We start from the raw sequence: 20,986 nt of genomic DNA, 5'->3' as shown, positions 1-20,986 counted from the left end.
TTCCAGCACTTTGGGAGGCTGAGGTGGGAAGACCGCTCGAGCCTCGGAGTTTGACACCAGCCTGGGCAACCAGTGAGACCCCAACTCTATAATAAAAAAAAAATTAAAAATTAAAAAAATCACAGTAAACTGTGTTATATATAAGATTTCTTGGAATAACTACATTATCAACTGGAAAAGCTGCATTCAGTGAAGTCCATTCTAATAAATGATGTCCCTTTAATACAAAAGATAGGTGTTAGCCAGGTGCAGTGGTTCACACCTGTAATACCAGCACTTTGGGAGGCCAAGGTGGGCAGATCACTTGAGTTCAGGAGTTCAAGACCAGCCTGGCCAACACGGTAAAACCCCGTCTCCACTAAAAATACAAAAATTAGCCGGGCGTGGTGGCAGGTGCCTATAAACCCAGCTACTCAGGAAGCTGAGGCAGAAGAATTGCTTAAATCCAGAAGGCGGAGGTTTCAGTGAGCCGAGATCATACCACTGCACTCCAGCCTGGGTGACAGAGGGAGGCTCCATCTCACAAAAAAACAAAAAAAACAAAACAAAAAAAACAGATAGGTGTTTCTCCATACAGTTGTTTCACACATGCTTCCACAGATGTCTACGCTAATGCTGTCTAGTAAAGAATGCTTGTAACCTGGAAAATATATCAACAACAATAGAATGGTGTTTTAATAAACAATATGATAATGAAATCCCAACATCAACTGATTAAGATGGGGAATTTACTTTCAGGTAATACAGCCAATTCATCACCTCTTTCCACACAACCGTCCACACCCTCCAGAGTTCGAGAATCCTGATATGCTTGAAGAAACTGAGAACCAGAAAAATCTCCAGATGAGCAGTGGAGCATATTTCTACAGTGAATCTAACACTTAACATCTAATTTGTTTGTTATGCTAAACTGAATGTTGCTCAAAATTAAGTTTAAAAGCCCTAATATAATGCAAAAGAAATATGTTAACAATTATACCTTCTACTGAATACAATTTCTGGCACATTCAAGAGCAGATAACAGCAAGAGATATCTAATTCTAATACATCTCTTCTGCTAGAAACAATTATTTCTATTCCAAACTTCAACATGGTACATGCCAAAATGATTCACTGGTTGGTCGGGAGTCACGAATGTCTTTCCACCCCCACAGAATCACTGTTAAAAATGGTGGTTAGGTGCCATGAGCAGTCTGTACTTCAGGTACATTACAGAGCTTTGTGTCCTGGCAATTACACTACGTATTTATTTATATCTTGTCTCATTCTTTTAAAGGGGGAGGGGGGAGGTTGTAATCATCATATGTAGCAATACAATGATTTTTTTTTTTTTAAGGATGGCAATTCCTAAACAAGTCTTTTTTCAACAGAAAAAGTTCATCTTAAATTGGGACCATCTCAATTCAGCTTGAAAAGAAGGCAGGGAAAGCACATACATTCCCCTTAGATATTCTTTAAAATTAATTTTATAATGTAGAAAACAACAAAGTACTATTATGCATAATCCACAGAAAAGTAGAATGATTTAATCAGCATAAATTTAAAGAACTTCCAAAAATGTGTTCAGAATTAAGGGACAAATTTTCATTTTAAGGATAACAAAAACACAAGTAAACCATTAATACATTCATTCCTCCCCCATCCACCAAAAGTAAAAAGAACTTCACATCTGTGACCAGTGTTGGTTCATACCTTTGTATATGACTCACAAAACTATTCCTCAAAATTATTCCCTATCCCTATTATATATAATCACATTCCCTCAAAGTAGGATCTAAAAAGGGGTGGAATTCTTCCTTTTTAGAGACAGTTCATATATAAAAAGATGACAGTCTAATTCACGTTTAAGCCTGTATCTACAAATGTCATTTACTGAATTATTATGGTTGAATTAAATAAGCCTGCTAAGACTCAATCATAAGACCAGAATCATAACCAAAAGAAATGTTCTAATAGATACTATATTTGAAATCTAAGAATGCATTTTCTTCATCATTGTTAGGCACCTTGTCCACATTTTCATTTACTAATTTATATTCTAGATAAAACTTCCTAACACACTGAGAAGGTATTTTATCAATTCCTCTCTATTCCCACTGCCAATTCCTCTTCCCTCTACCATACCTTGATGCTCCCCACTTTAGGATGTGTGGGATGTATGCCCACTTTAGGTAGAATGTATACAATAACCAATCATGTCATGAGAAAGTTAATAGCTTTTCAATCCCTCAAGCCTTCTAATTACAAGATCTTAGTATCTTCATGTCGTTTGTTGTTGTTTTTTGTTTTTTTTACTGGGCAGATTTAGGCTCAGAGAATTTAGCAGGTAACAGCATCTATCTAAAAGTTAATACCATTATTTCGTTGTTATTTTAATGTTGCCATTGCCAACTATTCAAAGCCAGTGATACTAGTTTTCCATTTACGGTACCAATATAAAATTTCTCTTTAAATAAATGTATTTAAGGAAAAGAGTCATTTAAAGATATTAAGGAAATAACTGAATCTTGGAATGGCCCTCAAAAAAACTGAAGTGTCAGAAACACTACTCTGACCAGAATTGTGGCCATTTTAAACTCAATTTTTTCTCCACATTTTCTGGCTTATTTGATGACCCCAAATTCTCAACTAAGCTCCAGATTCCAACTTGGGATACTATACCAGCACATCAAATTCAACACCATTTTCTTCTGGATCATCCCCCACCCCCACCCTACTCCAACTTCACCATCAAAACCTAGCTAGATTCTCCTATATAACCATTCACACAATCTAAAAATCTAGAAGCTACCTGTGATTCATCCCTCTCCATTCACTGAATTCCAGAATTTACCAGCTCATTCATTCCACAAATAAAATCATGTGTGCAAATAAAATCATCTTATTTTAGAATGTTGTTTCTTAAAAACTTTCACACTCTATGAGAGGAGATATGTAGCCTTGTGGATGCTTTCTCCAAAATTGGAGGGTGGAGGGCAGAGGGGAACACATGATATGGGACAGATTTGAAAAGGAATGCCCTAAAATATTAACAGGGGTCATTTCTACATGGTACATGGTAGAAATGAGTAAGTTCCATCTGCTCCATATTTTCCTGTAACTTTGTATGTTTTCTATATTTTTATCATCAAGAAAAAAATACATTCCAAAAAGTGGTCCCATCTGGACTCACATCTCAATTCCTATTCAAGCATCCTAGTTCAACTCTCTTTAAATCCTCCTGTCTGTCCTCTAAATTGACCTTTGCAAAGGTCATTGTCCAATACACTATACACACAATTGCCTGAATAATACTCCTGAAGAGTTTTCACTAGGTTACACTTCTAGTCAACAATCTTTAATAGTTTCCTATTGACTATAATCATAAGAGTTGCCTACTCTGCCAGCTTTTAGGCACTTATCTAGCCCCAATTCTACCAATATAATAGATTTTCATGGTATCTAGAATCAAACTGCTCAAGTAATATTTCCATCATTTGCCAGCTGTGTCATCCTACAAAAGTAATTTAACCTCCAGATACCTTGGCTAAGCATTTGTAAAAAGAGGGCCAATAATACCTCATAAAGTTGTTATAAACATCAAGTGTGTAATGAAGGGACTGGTACATAATAGAAGCTCAATAAACAATAGTGTTATTACTCCTTTATAATCCTACACACAATCTCAGCTCAAGGCTGGTTTGCCCACTACCACAAATACACCTGACTTTATGTGCTTGGCTCACAGTGTTTCCCACGCCCTGAATAACCTCTGCCAATCCTCCACTTCTTCAAGCTCCACCAGCTCTCTGAAGCATGCACAGGCCAGACTTCCCCCACTTCTCATATTCTTTCCAGGGGTGTCCAATCTTTTGGCTTCCCTGGGCCACATTGGAAGAATTGTCCTGACCACACATAAAATACACTAACAAGAGCTGATGAGCTAAAAAAAAACGAAACAAACAAAAAACCAAACACACACACACACACACACACACACACACACAAACCCTCATAATGGTTTAAGAAAGTTTACAAATTTGTGTTGGGCTGTATTCAAAGCCATCCTGGGCCGCATGAACCGCAGGTTGGACAAGCTTGCTCTACACCTCACGGCTCTTGTGGCAGGTGAATTAATACTCAACTCATCTCAAAACTTGTAGACTTTGAAATTCTCTGTCTCAGCCTCTACTAGACTATTAGCAGTCTGAGGATAGTCATTGTGCCTTATACTTTTATCCCTTGATACATTAATTCCTTGTATAGAATAGATCCACAACATAAAATTATTGTTTTGCATATTTTAGTATTTCCTTTCCAACTAGACTGCAATCTTCCTGTCAGGGCTAACTTATGTCTTCTTTGTAATCCTAAAAATACATAGTATAATGCTACTGGCCCACTCTCCATTCAGAAAAATAGCACTTTAGTTAATAAATCTCACATAAAAAAATGAGAGAAAATAGCAAGTTTCTACTGTTAAAGTTAATGTACACATAAAAAAAAAATCTGAAAAAACAAACAAGGACTGATGATAGATATTGGTGGAATTATCTTTTTCCTGGAATAACAGTTATACTCTCATAATCACCTTACCATTTGAAACATCTACTAGTGGAACACAGCAGACTTACCAGATCAGACTACTACTCTGCTCAAAACTCTCCAAGGACTTTCTATCTCACCCAAGTAAAAGTGAAAGTATTTACAATGGCCAGGCCCCTTGCTCTCTCTGCAGTTCCTTGAATACAGTAAGAAACAAATTAGCTCAGCTAGAGCTTTTACACTTGCTTTTCCCTCTCTTGAAATGTTCTCTCCCGAATATCTACAGGGCTCACTCTCCCATGCTCTTCAGGCAACCTCTAGGAGAAAGCCCTTTCCTTATCATCTGCTACGGTCTGAATGTTGGCATCCCCCTAAAATTTTATGTTAAAACCTAGTACCCAAAACAACGGTATTAAGCGGTAGGGCCTTTGGGGAAGTGAGGAAGTCAAGATGGCTCTGCTCTCATGAATGGGATTAGTGCCCTTATAAAAGAGGTTGAAGGGAGCAATCTTACCCCCTCTACCATGTGAGGACACAGCAAGAGGCACCATCTATGAAGCAGACAGTATGCCTTTACCAGGCACTGAATCTACTGGTCACTTGAACTTCCCAGCCTCCAGAACTATGAGAAAGAAATCTGTTATGTATAAGCTACCCAGTCTAAGGTATTTTGTTATATTAGCCCGAATGTACTAAGACACTAAGAGCACTAAGCTCACCCCACATTCCAACCCTTTCACCAACTCTTTCTTCATAGCGCTTATTACCACCAATGAATTATATATCTGTTTGTTGTCTCTTTCTAAACACCGGCCTGTAGGCTACATGAGTGCAGGAACTTTGCTTTGCTCACTGCTACAGCCCCAGTCCCCAGTACAGACAACAGGGCCCAATAGTCAATAAAGATTTGTTGTATGAAGAAATGAATCTAAGTTGAATTGACTCTAGAACATTCTATCTTCAGTTTTATTTAATATCATCCATTTTATATCTTTGCTTCCTCATTTCCTCTTTCATACATTTGGAATAATATCTAAACCTTGCAGGAGATGTAAGGATTAAGAGACAGAGTGTGTGTAACTTAGAATAGCATCTAGCACATAGAATTGTTCTCTGTTACCTATTGTTATTAATTTCAGCCACTTAGTTCCAATTATATTCTTAGATATAAATGTATGATTCCTATTTGTTATGCCCTAAGCAACGATTTTTGTAGGCAAATGGTAAAGATAACTAATATCTTCTCTAACCAAAAGTTACCTTAGGCAAAAAGCTACAAAGTATAGAGTGTTTCCTAATAATGATAAAACTACTAATACAACTGCAAGTTAGAATTGTTATACACTATTATTATAAGTGAAAGCGTTTGGTTTATATATACCTGATCTGAAGCCTGTAAGAGCTCTACCAAACCCAAACTAGGTTGCTGTTTTGACTTTAGCTGGACACTTCAAAAATATGTAGATATACCTATTTTATCGTTCACAGGCTCCTTTCTATTGCAATGGATTTGTTCATCAGACTACAAGCTTTTTTTTTTCTTTTGAGATGGAGTCTCACTCTGTCACCAGACTGGAGGTGCAGTGGCGCGATCTCGGCTCACTGCAACCTCCGCCTCGCCGGTTCAAGCAATTCTCTTGCCTCAGCCGCCTGAGTAACTGGGATTACAGGTGCCCACCACCACGCCCGGCTAATTTTTTTGTATTTTTAGTAGATTCGGGGTTTCACTGTGTTAGCCAGGATGGTCTCGATCTCCTGACCTCATGATCCGCCCGCCTCGGCCTCCCACAGTGCTGGGATTACAGGCGTGAGCCCCCACGCCTGGCCAGACTACAAGCTTTAAGTGTAAATCCATGACAATATGTTTTAGGACAGAGTTTTGACCATTTATCAAAAAAACACACTAAAACTTAAAAGAAAAAAATTAGTATTATCGTAAGTCAAATATTAATGCTTTATCAGAAAGCTAAATGTAAGTTAAAACTACTTGGCCTCCAAATCTGGCATACTATTAATAATTCAATTAAGCACTTTTTTTTTCCTTTCTCTTTTTTTGAGAGAGTCTCGCTGTCATCCAGACTGGAGTGCAACGGCACTATCAGAGTTCACAAAGCCTCTATCTCCTAGGCTCAATCAATCCTCCCTATGAGCCTCCCAAGTAGCTACGACTACAGGTGTGCACCACCCAAGTAGCTACGACTACAGGTGTGCACCACCACAGCCAGCTAATTTTTGTTTTGGTTGTTGTTGCTATTTTGTAGAGACAGTGTCTTGCTATGTTGCCCAGGCCAGTCTTAAACTCCTGGCCTCAAATTATCCTCCTGCCTCAGCCTCCCAAACTGTTAAGCATTATTTTGTAATACTCCTAAAATTTAGATTTTTATTATAGTCTCCATTTTTTAAATACTCCATTCTAGAGAACTACCCACCCAAACGATCTAGACTGTGTTTATCATGTAGTTAATCAAAAGGTATTAGTGCATGTATCCATACAACAAGGAAATATTTATTATATTGAGGCACAGACATGAGAAAACAATCAATGGAATTTCTAATGGTAAATAAGCCAAGACTAGCAGCTAAATGCTAGGCCCACCAGGCATGAGTAAGCTGAGTATATTCCATGTATAGTACAAGTTTCCAATAATTTGAAGCAATAGGTTTGTTTCATAACACATCACTTACAGCTTCTAAGCACTGTAATACTTAGCAAGTATTTATTTAGCATTTATAAATGCTATTTCTGATTAGTCACTTTTGGCCAAGAGTATGTGTTCTGGGATGAGAAAAACAATAAACGCCTAAAAGCTCCTGTTCATCACTGTTCTTCAGCTCCCACGAAACTTTTAAGTGTGTAGGAGATTTAGTCCTCATATCGATACCAGGGAATACTGAATTAAAACCTAGAAGCGGCCAGGCGAGGTGGTTCATGCCTGTAATCCCAGCACTTTGGGAGGCCAAGGTGGGTGGATCTGAGGTCAGGAGTTTGAGATCAGCCTGGCCAACATGGTGAAACTCTGTCTCTACTAAAAATTTAAAAATTAGCTGGGCGTGATGGTGGGCGTCTATAATCCCAGCTACTCGGGAGGTTGAGACAGGGGAATCACTTGAACCCAGGAGGTGGAGGTTGCAGCGAGCCGAGAGTGCACCACTGTACTCCAGACTGGGCAACAAGAGCAAAACTCCATCTCGAAAACAAAACAAAACAAAAATCTAGAAGCAACAGGCTATAGCACAGGAGAACTTACTCAGGTGCTGTGAGATAAAACATAGGGTCAGCACTTACAAGATCCTGAGAGTGACTGCCTCCTTAAATTTTAAGTCCTACGTGCCTCCTTGACTCACTCTGGCCTTAGGTAGAGCCAGGGATGTTATTAAACATTCTACAATGCATAGGACAGTCTCCCACAACAAAGAAGTATCTGGCTCAAGATGTCAATAATGCTAACATTTAGAAGCCCCAGTTTAAAAGAAAGAACTGAGTTAGAATTCCAGCTCCACAACTCATTAGCTAAATGAGCTGCAGCAAATTATATAACCTCTCTGAGAGAGTTTCCTCATGTATAAATTGGATATCATGCTTATACTGAAAGATTGCTAGGAGGAAAAACTGAAACAGAAGCCCTAGGCAGAGAGTAGACACTCTACAAATGTTAGTTACCATTCTTCAGAGTAAAATCTCCATCACAGACAGAGCTCTGGCCCACTCAAAGATGTATTTTTAAATTATTATGGTACTATAATTATTTTATCGCCTATCAAAATTTAAGGAACTTGAAGATAAGAGTCCTTACCTTATTGGACTTTGTAGCCTCAGCGTCTAGCACAAATGGACGAATAAATTCTAAGCACCTACCCATTACAATAAGGTATAAATTGCATTGTGCAAAATTGCCAAATATAAGAAAACATAATTCTTGCCCTGGAAAAATTCTGAAAAGAAGCCTAACAAGAAAACAAAACATACAGATAGATTTAACACACAGTAGGCACTCAAAAAAGCTCATGGATTGATGGGTAAAATTCACGTAAATAGCTGAGGCCACGATTGAATATTAATGGAATGCAGATGAAATAGTATTAAAGATATTTAATCAGGGAAAAAGCATATTTTCCTGATTAAATCCTATGTATATGCAGCTAGTATTTTCTAAAGGGAATGAAAGTACACTTAACGCACAAACATCAAAATGACAAGTGCTATCATTTGCCATTTTAGCAATATTTAGCTAAATTTCTTTTTTGTTTTGTTTTGTTTTTGAGGCGGAGTTTCGCTCTTGTTGCCCAGGCTGGAGTGCAATGGCGCGATCTCGGCTTATCACAACCCCCGCCTCCCGGGTTCAAGCAATTCTCCTGCCTCAGCCACCCAAGTAACTGGGATTACAGGCATGCGCCACCATGCCCAGCTAATTTTTGTATTTTTAGTAGAGACGTGGTTTCTTTATGCTGGTCAGGCTGGTCTTGAACTCCCGACCTCAGGTGATCCACCCGCCTTGGCCTTCCAAAGTGCTGGGATCACAGGCGTGAGCCATCGCGCCCGGCAGCTAAATTTCTTAATTCAGATGACGGCAGCACATTTTAACAGGTTCAAAGGGCATTTTAAGCAATTTTAAAAACCACATCATATTTTAATGGGAGCTTATCAAATCCCTGACATCCACAATCCATAAATCGTCTGAGACAGAATAAGACCAAAAAGGCTGATGCCCAAATGTCTGTATACTTTGCTGAAAAGGCTGAGCTCAAGCATACCCAAAGTGTGTTAGAAGCAACTTTTAAAATGCACAAATGTAACAATTATTTTTAAACCAACAATTTTAGAAAAATAGCAGTTCCTATCTAAAGCTTTTATAAATATAAGACACTGGCTTTGCAAATGTCAGCGGAGTTTTAAGATCTCTTTCTAAAGCAATAGTCTCTCTGTTTTGCTTGGTATCTTAATATGTCTTTAGTTTCAAAACTTAATTTGCCAACACTATTCCTCTCAAAACCTCAGGAATTCCATTACTAGTTTTAAACTAAATTAAAGGAAAATAGACGCATTCAACCCATGGCAGAAGTATGCACAAAGTGTTTGTTGATGCTCATAAACAGACTGAGAAATTTAGACACATCTGAAGGACAATGGCTGTACAGTCAAGTCTGTTTTGCTCCACCATGGAACCAAACAGAGAATTATTGCTACCAAGTGAGACCAGCCCTAGATACCTCTAAACTAAGTGGACTATAACAGACAGAACATTATCTTTTAAGTTAGAGCTTTTGTGTATGTTTTCACGTCAGGGAAGAATAGTTAGAGCATCCCTAAAAAAAATCCATATGGAGCCAAGCTATCCTCTCTCCCAAAACAATCCTTAAAGTGACTTCAACAGTAACCACTCGCTTGCCCCCCAAAAATATATGAGATTTTTAAAAAAAGGAATAAACTATGCTTAACATACAGATGGTTCTTTGTCTTATCCCTAGAAATCTTCTTTTCCATTCCATTTCCTTTTTCTCAGATTCCATAAATCTTCCTGACAATTACAGCCATTTCCACTTTTCATCCCTCTCCATCATCTCCTTCAAGACCTAGTTCATCTCAACTTACCTGAATCACAGATATCAGGATCCCCTGGGTGGAACTAGTAACATATTTTCCCATTTCCCTGTTACTCCATTTTATATGACTTAATGGAAATACAGATTCATAATTCCAAATTACTTTTTTTTGTTTCTTTGTCTTATTTCAAACTCTCCCTTTCCTCTACCCCCAGCCTCTAGTCAAATTCTTTTTTAAACACAATTCATTCACAAGATACAGGCTATCCACATAAAGTAAAATTACAGTGACTGCTAATAATGAAAATAATACATTTTTGATGAAGTAAACAAGTGAAAGCCAGTTGTTTGCACAAGAGTGATCAGTGCTTGCAACCACATAATTAATAAAAATAGAGAAAATAAATCTAATTATAAACAGCATATAACCAAACTAGTAATCATATTTTTGCAGAGTACCTTATAAAACTAACATTCTATCTTTAGAAATGAATACACAAAGAACAATTTGGAAATATTTATCAAAAATGCTATTGTATATCCACGGACACAGAAATTCTACTTCTAATTTTAAAGTACTTGCACGGGCAAAATATGTATACAATATTCATTAAATCATTATTTTAAAAGTCAAACATAGCCCCAGCACTGTGGCTCACTCACACCTGTAAACCCAGCAGTTGAGAGGACTACTTGAGGCCAGGCACTTGAGACCAGCATGGACAACATAGTGAGTCCCCGTCTCTACAACAAAATTTTAAAAACTTAGCTGGAAATGGAGGTATGTACCTGTACACCTGTGGTCCTACCTACTTGGGAGGCTGAGTCAGAATGATCGCTTGAGCCCAGGAGTTCAAGACCGTGGTGAGCTATGATTGTGACACTGCACTTCAGCCTGGGTACCTGTCTCCAAAAAAAAAAAAAAAAAAAAAAAATGGAAGAAACGCACCAAAGATAGGAAACAAACTTAATGTCCACCAAAAAAGGAATTTATAGTACATTCCGTTTGATGGATACTATACAGCCATTAAAAAGCTACGTATGGGCCAGGCGCGGTAGTTCACGACTATTAATCGCAGCACTTTGAAAGGCCGAGGTGGGCAGGTCGCTGGAGCTCAGGTGTTTGAGAGCAGCCTGGACAACATGGCAAAACCTCGTCTTTATAAAAAATATAAAAAATTAGGCAGGTGGGTGGCTTGTGCCTGTGGTCCCAGCTACTTCAAGGGCTGAGGTGGGAGGATCGCTTGAGGCCAGGAGGTCAAGGCTGCAATGAGCCAAGATTACGCCACTGCACTCCAGCCAGGGTGACAGAGCAAGAGACCCTGTCTCAAAAGAAAAAGAATGTGGTTATAAATGTAGGAAGAAAATGTGCTATAAACAGGAACTGCCTTAGGGCATGGGACCTAGTAGACAGAAAGGTAGGAAAAAAGACTTGCTTTTCACAATAAGCCCTTTTGTATCTTTAAATTTTAGATCATGTACACTTACTAAACTTTTGTTAAAATAATTTTTAAAACAGCAAAATAATTTAGGACATTCTCTCAGATCCTCTAATCCATAAATAGTTCTACTCTTTTATCTCTAGGCACTTTTAATTTGGACTGAAAATCTAGGCTACTAGAGGTTACCAATAACCATAGGTAGAGGACTTATTTCTTTAGTGAAAAGTATAACCATGGCAACTTTGCATCAACCAAAACAAAATATAAGAAGTCAAGAAATACACAAAGAATGTATCTTACCCAAAGCAATCTTTTTACAGAAATAACACTGAATACAATACAATTTTGTTAGCACTCTACAAACTGTGCTTCACCAAAAGAAAAAAACCATCTGGCTGAAATTTCTGGTTATGGTCTAGATCTCAAATGGCTATATACACCAGAAATATTTTGTAAAGAACCTAAGAAGTGCCAAAATCATTTGAATCCAAAAGGCAGTTAAAAACAAGAGAAGAAGGAGGACAAAAACTTGGGCAAAAGTTTCAAATGCCAAAAAAAAAAAAAAAACCCACACATTTTCAAGGTATTTTTCTAATGGAATTTTTCTTTTTAGCTCTTAAATTCCAAATAAGCTGAACACTATAATCCCTCAATTAGTCATTAAAACTCAAGAAATGTAAAGAAACAGTTCATCTTTTTCAAGCTAATTTTTAAATGTTGCTATTTAATATGATTTTTGTTTTTGCTATTAGATAAAGAATTATTAATTTGATAGCAGCTAATACTACTCAGGTCCCCTCTTCTTTCTCAGATTCAAACAATCTATTTCATTATAAAACAAGAAAGCATATTCTTGACATGGGGAAAATACATAACGGTAACATAAAGAGTAGTGTATTTATTTTTTGTTAAAATCCTTTTACTGGGTCTTTTGTTAACATTATGACTTGGCCATCTGAACATACTGCTACATCAGTATGTTTTAGACTTGACGACCTATTTTTTTTTTAATCAAACTATATAGCTCAAAGGTTTGTTGTTAAAATCAATTACAGTCTCTTGAGGTCTACAATATACCTCAGCAAACAAAAGATGTTAGCTGGCATATCAAACAATCAGTATATTCCTTTGCCAGATTCAAACACTCAGGCTAATGACCCCCAGAAAAGCCAAAAAAAAAAACCCCAAAAACTTCACAAAAGGTACAGTTAAGAAAACAGGATATAAAAAACACCTCAGAATATGTGATATTTACATATCTTGACAATTACAGAGAAAAAGGACAAGAATGTCACCAACCAACCAATAATTTTCTTTTTTTTTTTTTTTTGAGATGGAGTCTTGCTCTGTCCCCAGGCTGGAGTGCAGTGGCATGGTCTCAGCTCACTGCAATTTCCGCCTCCTGGGTTCAAGCGATTCTCCTGCCTCAGCCTCCTGAGTAGCTGGGACTACAGGCATGCGCCACCACACCCAGCCAATTTTTGTATTTTTAGTAGAGACGGCATTTCACCATGTTGCCCAGGCTGGTCTTGAACTCCTGAGCTCAAGCAATCCTCCCACCTCAGCCTCCAAAAGTGCTGGGATTATAGGCGGAAGCCACCTAACCAAGGCTTGTAAGCTTAATTTTTATCTTGGAATGTTCCCTCATTTTTCTTACACAGTTGGTGCAAAAAAAAGAACCAAGGAGCAAAATGAAGCCAGTATCTAAGATGTGGGACAACTTACAGAACTCTACCCCAAACACTACCTGAAGACCACTCAAGATTACCTATTGACTGGGTAAATCAGATTCCCTAAAAGGCATCAAACACCTGCACAGAAGGTAAGAGTACATGCTGTATTTGAACCAATAAACATCTAGGTAAAAATCCTGGGGCTCCACTATTATCACCTGCCTGACCTTGGGAAGGTTACTTAACTCTCTGAGGCCTCAGTTTTTTCATCTATAAAATGGAAAGAGGAATAATAATTCAGTAGAAACTCTTTTAACAGACTTCTACTGTATCAAACTTACAAAAGTAAAGCTCTCCAATCCCTCCATAAATCACTCCCTAATGCCCAACACAGGCTCATCACCTACACCTAGTAGTCTTCTAAGCAGACCACTTTCTTAACATGTCCCTACCCTTCTGCACTTAATGCTTAATAAGAGCCAGCAGTCCATTCCCAAACCAGTTTATGCCAACTGCACTTGTTATTGTTAATTATATAATTTAAGATCGTATGAACTGAATTATGAGGAAAAAGGTTGTTTCTGTGAAAATTATGTTGAAAAGTTCAAAAAGATTCAGAGGCTAGTATTTTTTAAAGTTATTATGGAATTAGGTATATGTCAAAACAGCTTCAAATAGGAGGAAAAGCATGAAAACGTGGAAGGATTTTATATACAAGCATACCTCAAAGATATTGCGGGTTCTGCTCCAGACCACAGCAATAAAGCAAATTTTGCAATAAGGCAAGTCACAAAGTTTTTGGTTTCCCAGGGCAAACAAAAGTTATGTTTACACTGTACCGTAGTCTATTAAGTGTGCAACAGCATTACGTTTAAAAAAACGCACATACCTTAATTTTAAAATACTTTATTACTAAAAAATGCTAATGATCATCTGATCAGCAAGTGGTCATCTTTTTGCTAGTGTAGGGTTTTGTCTCAAGGTTACAGCGGCTGACTGATCAGAGTGGTGGTTGCTAAAGGGTGGGGTGGCTGCGGCAATTTCTTAAGGCAACAATCACTTGCCGCATCAAATGACTCTTCCTTTCACAAAAGATTTCTCTGTAGCATGTGGTGCTAATTTACTGCATTTTACCCACAGTAGAACTTCTTTCAAAATTGGAGTCATCAATCCTCTCAAACCCTGTCACTGCTTTATCAACTCAATTTATGTAATATTCTAAATCTTTTGTTATCATTTTAACAATGTTCCCAAAATCTTCATCAGGAGTAGACTCCATCTCAGAAACTATTCTTTGCTCATTCCTAAGAAGCAATTCCTCATCCGTTAAAGTTTGACCATGAGATTGCAGCAATTCAGTCACATCCTAAGGCTGTAGTTCTAATTCCAATCCTCTTGCAATGTTCACCATATATGCTGTTACTTCCTCCAGTGAAGTCTTCAATCTCTCAAAGAGATCTATAAGAGCTGGAATCAACTTCTTCCAAACTCCCATTAATGTTGATATTTTTACCTCCTCCCATAAATCACAAGTGTTCTTAATGACTCTTTGGAATGGTGAATCCTTTCCAGAAGGTTTTCAGTTTACTTTGCCCAGATCCATCAGAAGAATCACTACCTATGGCACCTATAGTGTTACAAAATAGTATTTCTTAAACAATAAGACTTGAAAGTCAAAATTACTCCTCAATCTATGGGCTGCAGAATAGATGTGTTAGTAGGCATGAAAACAACATTAATCTTGTACATCCCCATCACAGCTCTTGAGTGACCAGGTACATTGTCAGTGAGTAGTAATATTTTGAAAGAAATCTTTTCTTCTGGGCAGTAGGTCTCAACAGTGGGCTTAAAATATTCAATAAACCATGCTGTAAAGAGATGTGCTGTTATCCAGACTTTATTGTTCCATTCATAAAGCACAGAGTAGATTTACCATCATTCTTAAAGGGCCCTAGGACTTCTGGAATGGTAAATGTTAACTTCAAGTCACCAGCTGCATTGGCTAAGTAGAGAGTCAGCCTGTCCTTTGAAGCTTTCAAACCAAGCATAGATTTCTCTCTAGCTATGAAAGTCCTAGACAGCATCTTGCAATAGAAAGCTGTTTCAACTACAATAAAATTTGTTGTTCAGGGTAGCCACCTTCATCAATTATCTAAATTAGTTCTTCTGGTGAGGCATGTTGGCTCAGGCCTATGGTTCTGGTGCATAAGGAGGCGAGGCCAGGAGTTTGAGACCAGCCTGGGCAATTTAGCAAGCCCTCATCTATATAACCATAACACATAATTCTAAGAAAAATGATAAAGAAGTTCTTCTAGGTAACTTGCTGCAGCTTCTGCATCAGCATTTGCTGCTTCACCTTGCACTTTTATGTTACATAGATGGCCTCTTTCCTTAAACCTCATGAACCAACCTCTATTTGGCTTCAAACCTTTTTTCTGCAGCTTCCTCACCTCTCTCAGCCCTCATATAATTGAACAGAATTAGGGTCTTGCTCTGGATTAGGCTTTGGCTTAAGGGAATGTTATGGCTGGTTTGATCTTCTATTCAGGCCATTAAAACTTTCTCCATACCAGCAATAAGACTTTCACTTTCTTATCATCTGGATGTTCACTGGAGTAGCACTTTGCATTTCCTTCAAGAACTTTTCCTTTGCATTTACAACCTAACTGGCACAAGAGGCTTCTCTTTCAACATGCCTTCCTCCCTAACTTTAATCACTTCTAGCTTTTGATTTAAAGTGAGAGATGTGTGACTCCTCCTTTCACTTGAACACTTAGAGGCCATCATAGGACTAACTGGCCTAATTTCAATATTTAGGGTCTCAGGAAATAGGGAACCCTGAGGAGCAGGAAAGAGATGAGGAAACAACCATTCAGTGGAGCAGTCAGAACACACACATTTATTGATCAAGTTCACCATCCTATATGGGCACAGTTTGAGGTGCCCCAAAACAATTACAATAGTAACATCAAAGATCACCATAACAGATATAATAATGATAAAAAGTTTGAAATACTGTGAGAATTACCAAAATGTGACCCAGAGACATGAAGTAAGCACACGCTGGCTGGAAAAATGGCACTGATACAGAATTCTGAATACAGGGTTGCCACAAACCTTCAATCTGTTAAAAAAAAAAAAAATGCAGTTATCTGCAAAACACAAAAAAATGAGGTATGCCTGTATTACACTGAAAGTGCCTTATATTCTCTCTTCTCCATAAAAAAGGGAATTAGGATACTTAATGGATAATGCTGCATGGCTGTGGATTATGCCAAAAAAGGCAATGCAGAACTCTAATCAAAGTACCCATCTACAAACAAAAACCTTGACCCTATAGGGAAAAAGTGAAGGAATGTACATTCTAGTTAAAATAAAAAAATGTTATTTTTTATGATTCCTTGTAACCAGCATTTTCAAGTACCTACTCAATATATCACATAGAGGATCTTAATACATAGCTATCTCAAAATTTACAGAATTATTGTGAAGACTGAAAAAAAATGCACTTAAGTACAGTGTGTGAATCTTAGTAAGTATTCAATTAAAACCTGTTTAGGTCAGGCATGGTGGCTCATGCCTGTAATCCCAGCACTTTGGGAGGCCAAGGTGGGCGGATCACCCAAGGTCAGGAGCTCCAGACCAGCCTGGCCAAAATGGTGAAACCTCATCTTGATTAGCCGGGCATGAAAGCGGGAGCCTGTAATCCCAGCTACTCAGGAGGCTGAGGCAGGAAAATCGCCTGAACTTGGGAGGTGGAGGTTGCAGTGAGCCAAGATCGCACCACTGCACTCCAGCCTGGGTGACAAGAGCAAGACTCCATCTCTAAATAAATAAATAAATAGGCTGGGCGCGGTGGCTCACGCCTGTAATCCCAGCACTTTGGAAGGTCGAGGCGGGCGGATCACGAGGTCAGGAGATCGAGACCATCCTGGCTAACACGGTGAAACCCCGTCTCTACCAAAAATACAAAAAATTAGCCAGGCGTGGTGTCGGGCGCCTGTAGTCCCAGCTACTTGGGAGGCTGAGGCAGGAGAATGGCGTGAACCTGGGAAGCGGAGCTTTCAGTGAGCGGAGACGGCGCCACTGCACTCCAGCCTGGGGGACAGAGCGAGACTCCGTCTCAAAAATAAATAAATAAATAAATAAATAAGTAAACTTCTGTTTTAAGAGTTTTAGGGGGGTGAGAGTGTGTGTGTGTGTGTGTGTGTGTGTGTGTGTGTGTGTGTGTGTGTGTGTGTGTTTTAAGATGAGGTCTTACTATGTTTCCCAGGCTAGTGTTGAACTCCTGGGTTCAAGTGATCCTTCCACCTCAGCCTCTCAAGTAGCTGGGACCACAGGTGCATGTCACCATGCCTGGCAGGTTTTGATGTCTTCTGTTGTTACCATAATGATCTGCTGCTCTAACAACATAGTATTGCTGTCTCCCAAAACACACAGAAAAGTAAAAGATGCACAATTTTCTTGTTGTTTTGTTATTTTTGTATTCATATATGTTACACATACAGACTTCAGACATTATTAGCCATATAAATTCCTAAACAGCCATCAAAAAACGTCAAGGCCAATACTCCTGAGAGCTCCAGGAGACTGTAGTCTCCCAGGGGTATACTTAACTATAAAGATAAGATTATGGTAATGTATTAACATGTCAGCACGACTAGGCACTTGAAAGTGACAACATAGGAAAAATGAATGAGGTGCTGGCATGGTACCAGTGGAGGGAGCAGCAGCTCTTTGAACAGGGAGCAGACAGGAAGAAAGGTTGAGAATCCAAATTGAGGAGAGTAACTAGGAGATAATGATAAAGACCAAAGAGAAGCAATGTAGAAACTGGCAATCATTTTGTAGGTAAACCTGTAAGCTAAAGAGAAGGATGTGGTGATTCAGCCTCTAGCTCAGAACTGTGGAACACTGGCACAGATATTAAAAAGCTTTTCCAGGCCGGGTGCAGTGGCTCAGACTTGTAATCCCAGCACTCTGGGAGGCAAAAGCGGGCAGATCACAAGGTCAGGAGATCGAGACCATCCTGGCTAACATGGTGAAACCCCACCTCTACTAAAAATACAAAAAATTAGCTGGGCGTGGTGGTGGGCGCCTGTAGTCCCAGCTACTCAGGAGGCTGAGGCAGGAGAATGGCGTGAACCCGGGAGGCGGAGGTTGCAGTGAGCCGAGATTGCACCACTGCACTCTAGCCTGGGCGACAGAGCGAGACTCTGTCAAAAAAAAAGAAAGAAAAGCTTTTCCAATTAATTAAAAGTAATATCACATTTTTTAAAGTTCATGTCTTAGGACATTATAATCAATTTTACTCTTCATGAAAAAACTGTTACATAAAGAAATGCACTCTAAAACCACAACAGTGAAGTACCTTTCTCGCCTAGTAAGTTGGGGGAAGGAGAAAACAGCACTAATACCCAATCTAAAAGAATACAGTGAAACAGTACTAGTAATACTATCCTTTTGAGAAGCAATTTAACCACATTTCAAGATTAAAAAACTCTCATATCCTTTGACTCAAAAATCATACCTGGGAACCTACCTTAAGGAAATAACTAGAAATATGAAGAAATCCATATACTCAAAGGTGTTTTCTGCAGTATTTCTCTTTTTAAGCTTAATTTATTTTTTTATATTTTGCAACATTTCTTATGATAGCAACAACTAAATATGATGGATGGTGACACGGAAAATACTTAATATAAAGTTTGTAAAAAGTAGCAAACAAAATTGAGTATATACTATAAGTGATAGAAGATGTATATGAAAAAGGCTATAAAAAGCTCCAAAATTGACTGTATTAGTGATAGAATTAAGAATTTTTTTCTATTTTTGTAAACTTTCTGAGATTTCACTTTATGAATTAAAACAAATTACATTTTTAAAACATCAATCTCCAAAGATTACATACTACATGACTTCACGCAACATTCTCAAAATGACAAAACTAGTGGTTGGGGGTCACGGGGCATTGTAACTACAAAGAGGCAGCACTAAGGAGTGTTTTCATGGTGATGGAACAATTCTGTATCTTGATTGTGGTATTGTTTCCACAAAACTACACATGGGATAAAATTACACAGAACTATATGTACACATGCACGCACAAGGAAGTCCAGGTTGAAAAATGGTGAAATCTGTATACCGTATGTTGTCTCATTAACAGTAATGTATTGATGTCAATTTTTTTGTGTTCATAAATGACATCTATGTAAGATGTTTTCGTTGGGAAAACCAAGTGAAGGTATGCAGGACTATTATTTTCCAACTTCCTGTGAGTCTACTTCAAAATAGAATGTTAAAATAATACATGCACTAGCATGTATAATATTAAACTTTTCTGAGAGTGGGAGATGTGGGAATGTAAAATGAGCCCTGTAACATGTAGCTTTCAAGGCACTAACCTACCAACTATTCACAAAACCCCACAGAAGGCAAATGGCAGTCTAGATTGAATGTAATTTACTTAAGTCAGGTTTTAATAAAAGGCTTCAATTTAAATGAAAATATCAGTCAATTTTCAGAACATGCTTAACTGAATAGTTTTGAACCTCAAAGCCTATACTTACATAATTTATTAAGCAAGAGCCCTCGGAACTTTCTTCCTTGCCAGAAAACAGTTTCAACAGATATAAATGATATTTTCTTACATACATTCATTTTAAATATATAAATGACTACTACACACAAAAGATATAAAAGCTTATTACCTCTGGACTGTGCTCCATGACAGCAATCACATCTGTCTTAATTAAACATTTTGACACAATGCCTAATATAGTAGGCTCCCAATAACTATCTACTGACTCAGTCAGTCAATGGATGAATTCACATTTTAACCAAGGTTCAATGCCCAAGTCTCTCCAGCTTTAACTGGGAATGGGAGGTAGAGGGTTAGGGGGAAAAAGGCCCAGCTTCTACCAATTTACCAGATCAAAGGATTATATTAACCAACACTCCCGTAATATCAATGTAAAAGTTTACCTTAGGAAAACCTTAAGTCACCTCCTCTAATCACTCATATCTTAAAGGATTGTTTAATAAAAAGAAATGATCTGGTATCAAAAAATCTGCCTCACTAATCTTTGTCACCTAATGCTTTAGAATTTCCTTTGCTATGTGCAACTCTATTGACTTCTTGATCTAACAAATCTTAGCTAGAGTTATGCAAAGTATCAAAAACCTCTTCTACACAAGCCTTAAACTCTCAACAATTATACATATACAATTATATATACTTATACATTATACACATATATATAGAAAGCACTATACAAATATAAGGTATATTATTACTACACTTAGTTTTCACTAAGGAAAAAAAAAAAAACCATAAAACACTAAGGTACCTCTAAGCAGACTGCTTGTTACAAGGAAAAATAGTAACTATAGAGTAGAAGAACCAGACTATATCTTGACCGAAGTTAAAATCACTAATGAGGGGCAAGTGGGCATTATGTATCTCCAGATGTGATAATCTGAGAGGAAAACATCACTTTTGTAACATTCTGACTAAACATAACCTGACTACAATCAAAAAGCTAATCAGATCAAATCAGACAAGTCCAAATTGAAAAACCTTCCGTAAAATAAATGACCTATACTCTTCAATTGCATGAAAGACAAAGAACTGCTGAGGAACTCTCCCCAAATTAAAGGAGACTAAAATAAAATATGTGATCAAATTACCAAAATGGGAATGTAAAGTGTAAAGTACCGTATCAACGTTAAATTTCTCGGGCCAGGTTTGGTGGCTTATGCCTGTAATTCCAGCACTTTGGGAGGCCGAGACAGGATAGCTTGAGC

General features: G+C 38.0%; 1 protein-coding gene across 14 annotated transcripts in view, besides 1 other annotated feature; it reads right to left on the bottom strand.

Annotated features, from left to right (window-relative positions):
• The window catches only part of FRS2 (fibroblast growth factor receptor substrate 2), a 109,406-nt gene that overhangs the window by 77,288 nt on the left and 11,132 nt on the right, over positions 1 to 20,986 (bottom strand). For 2 of the 14 annotated variants that reach the window (XM_017018718.2, NM_001278355.2), the window contains exon 2: positions 16,209 to 16,304. The exons of 9 other annotated variants lie outside the window; for them this stretch is intronic. The gene's annotated coding sequence lies outside the window, so the exon portion shown is untranslated. Of the gene's footprint in view, positions 1 to 10,854; positions 10,969 to 16,208; positions 16,305 to 20,986 lie in introns of all 14 variants that reach the window. 3 more of the 14 variants (NM_001278351.2, NM_001278354.2, XM_047428121.1) reach the window with 2 other exon arrangements.
• Positions 4,579 to 4,748: an enhancer, noted in NCBI's record as "active region_6652". NCBI's record gives its function as "activates an Ori minimal core promoter by ATAC-STARR-seq in GM12878 lymphoblastoid cells {active_cell/tissue: GM12878}" and the evidence as "EXISTENCE:reporter gene assay evidence [ECO:0000049][PMID:35858748]".

The sequence above is a fragment of the Homo sapiens genome, chromosome 12 (genome assembly GCF_000001405.40).
Source record: "Homo sapiens chromosome 12, GRCh38.p14 Primary Assembly".
NCBI lineage: Eukaryota > Metazoa > Chordata > Mammalia > Primates > Hominidae > Homo > Homo sapiens.
This window is presented reverse-complemented; position numbering and strand designations above follow the sequence as displayed.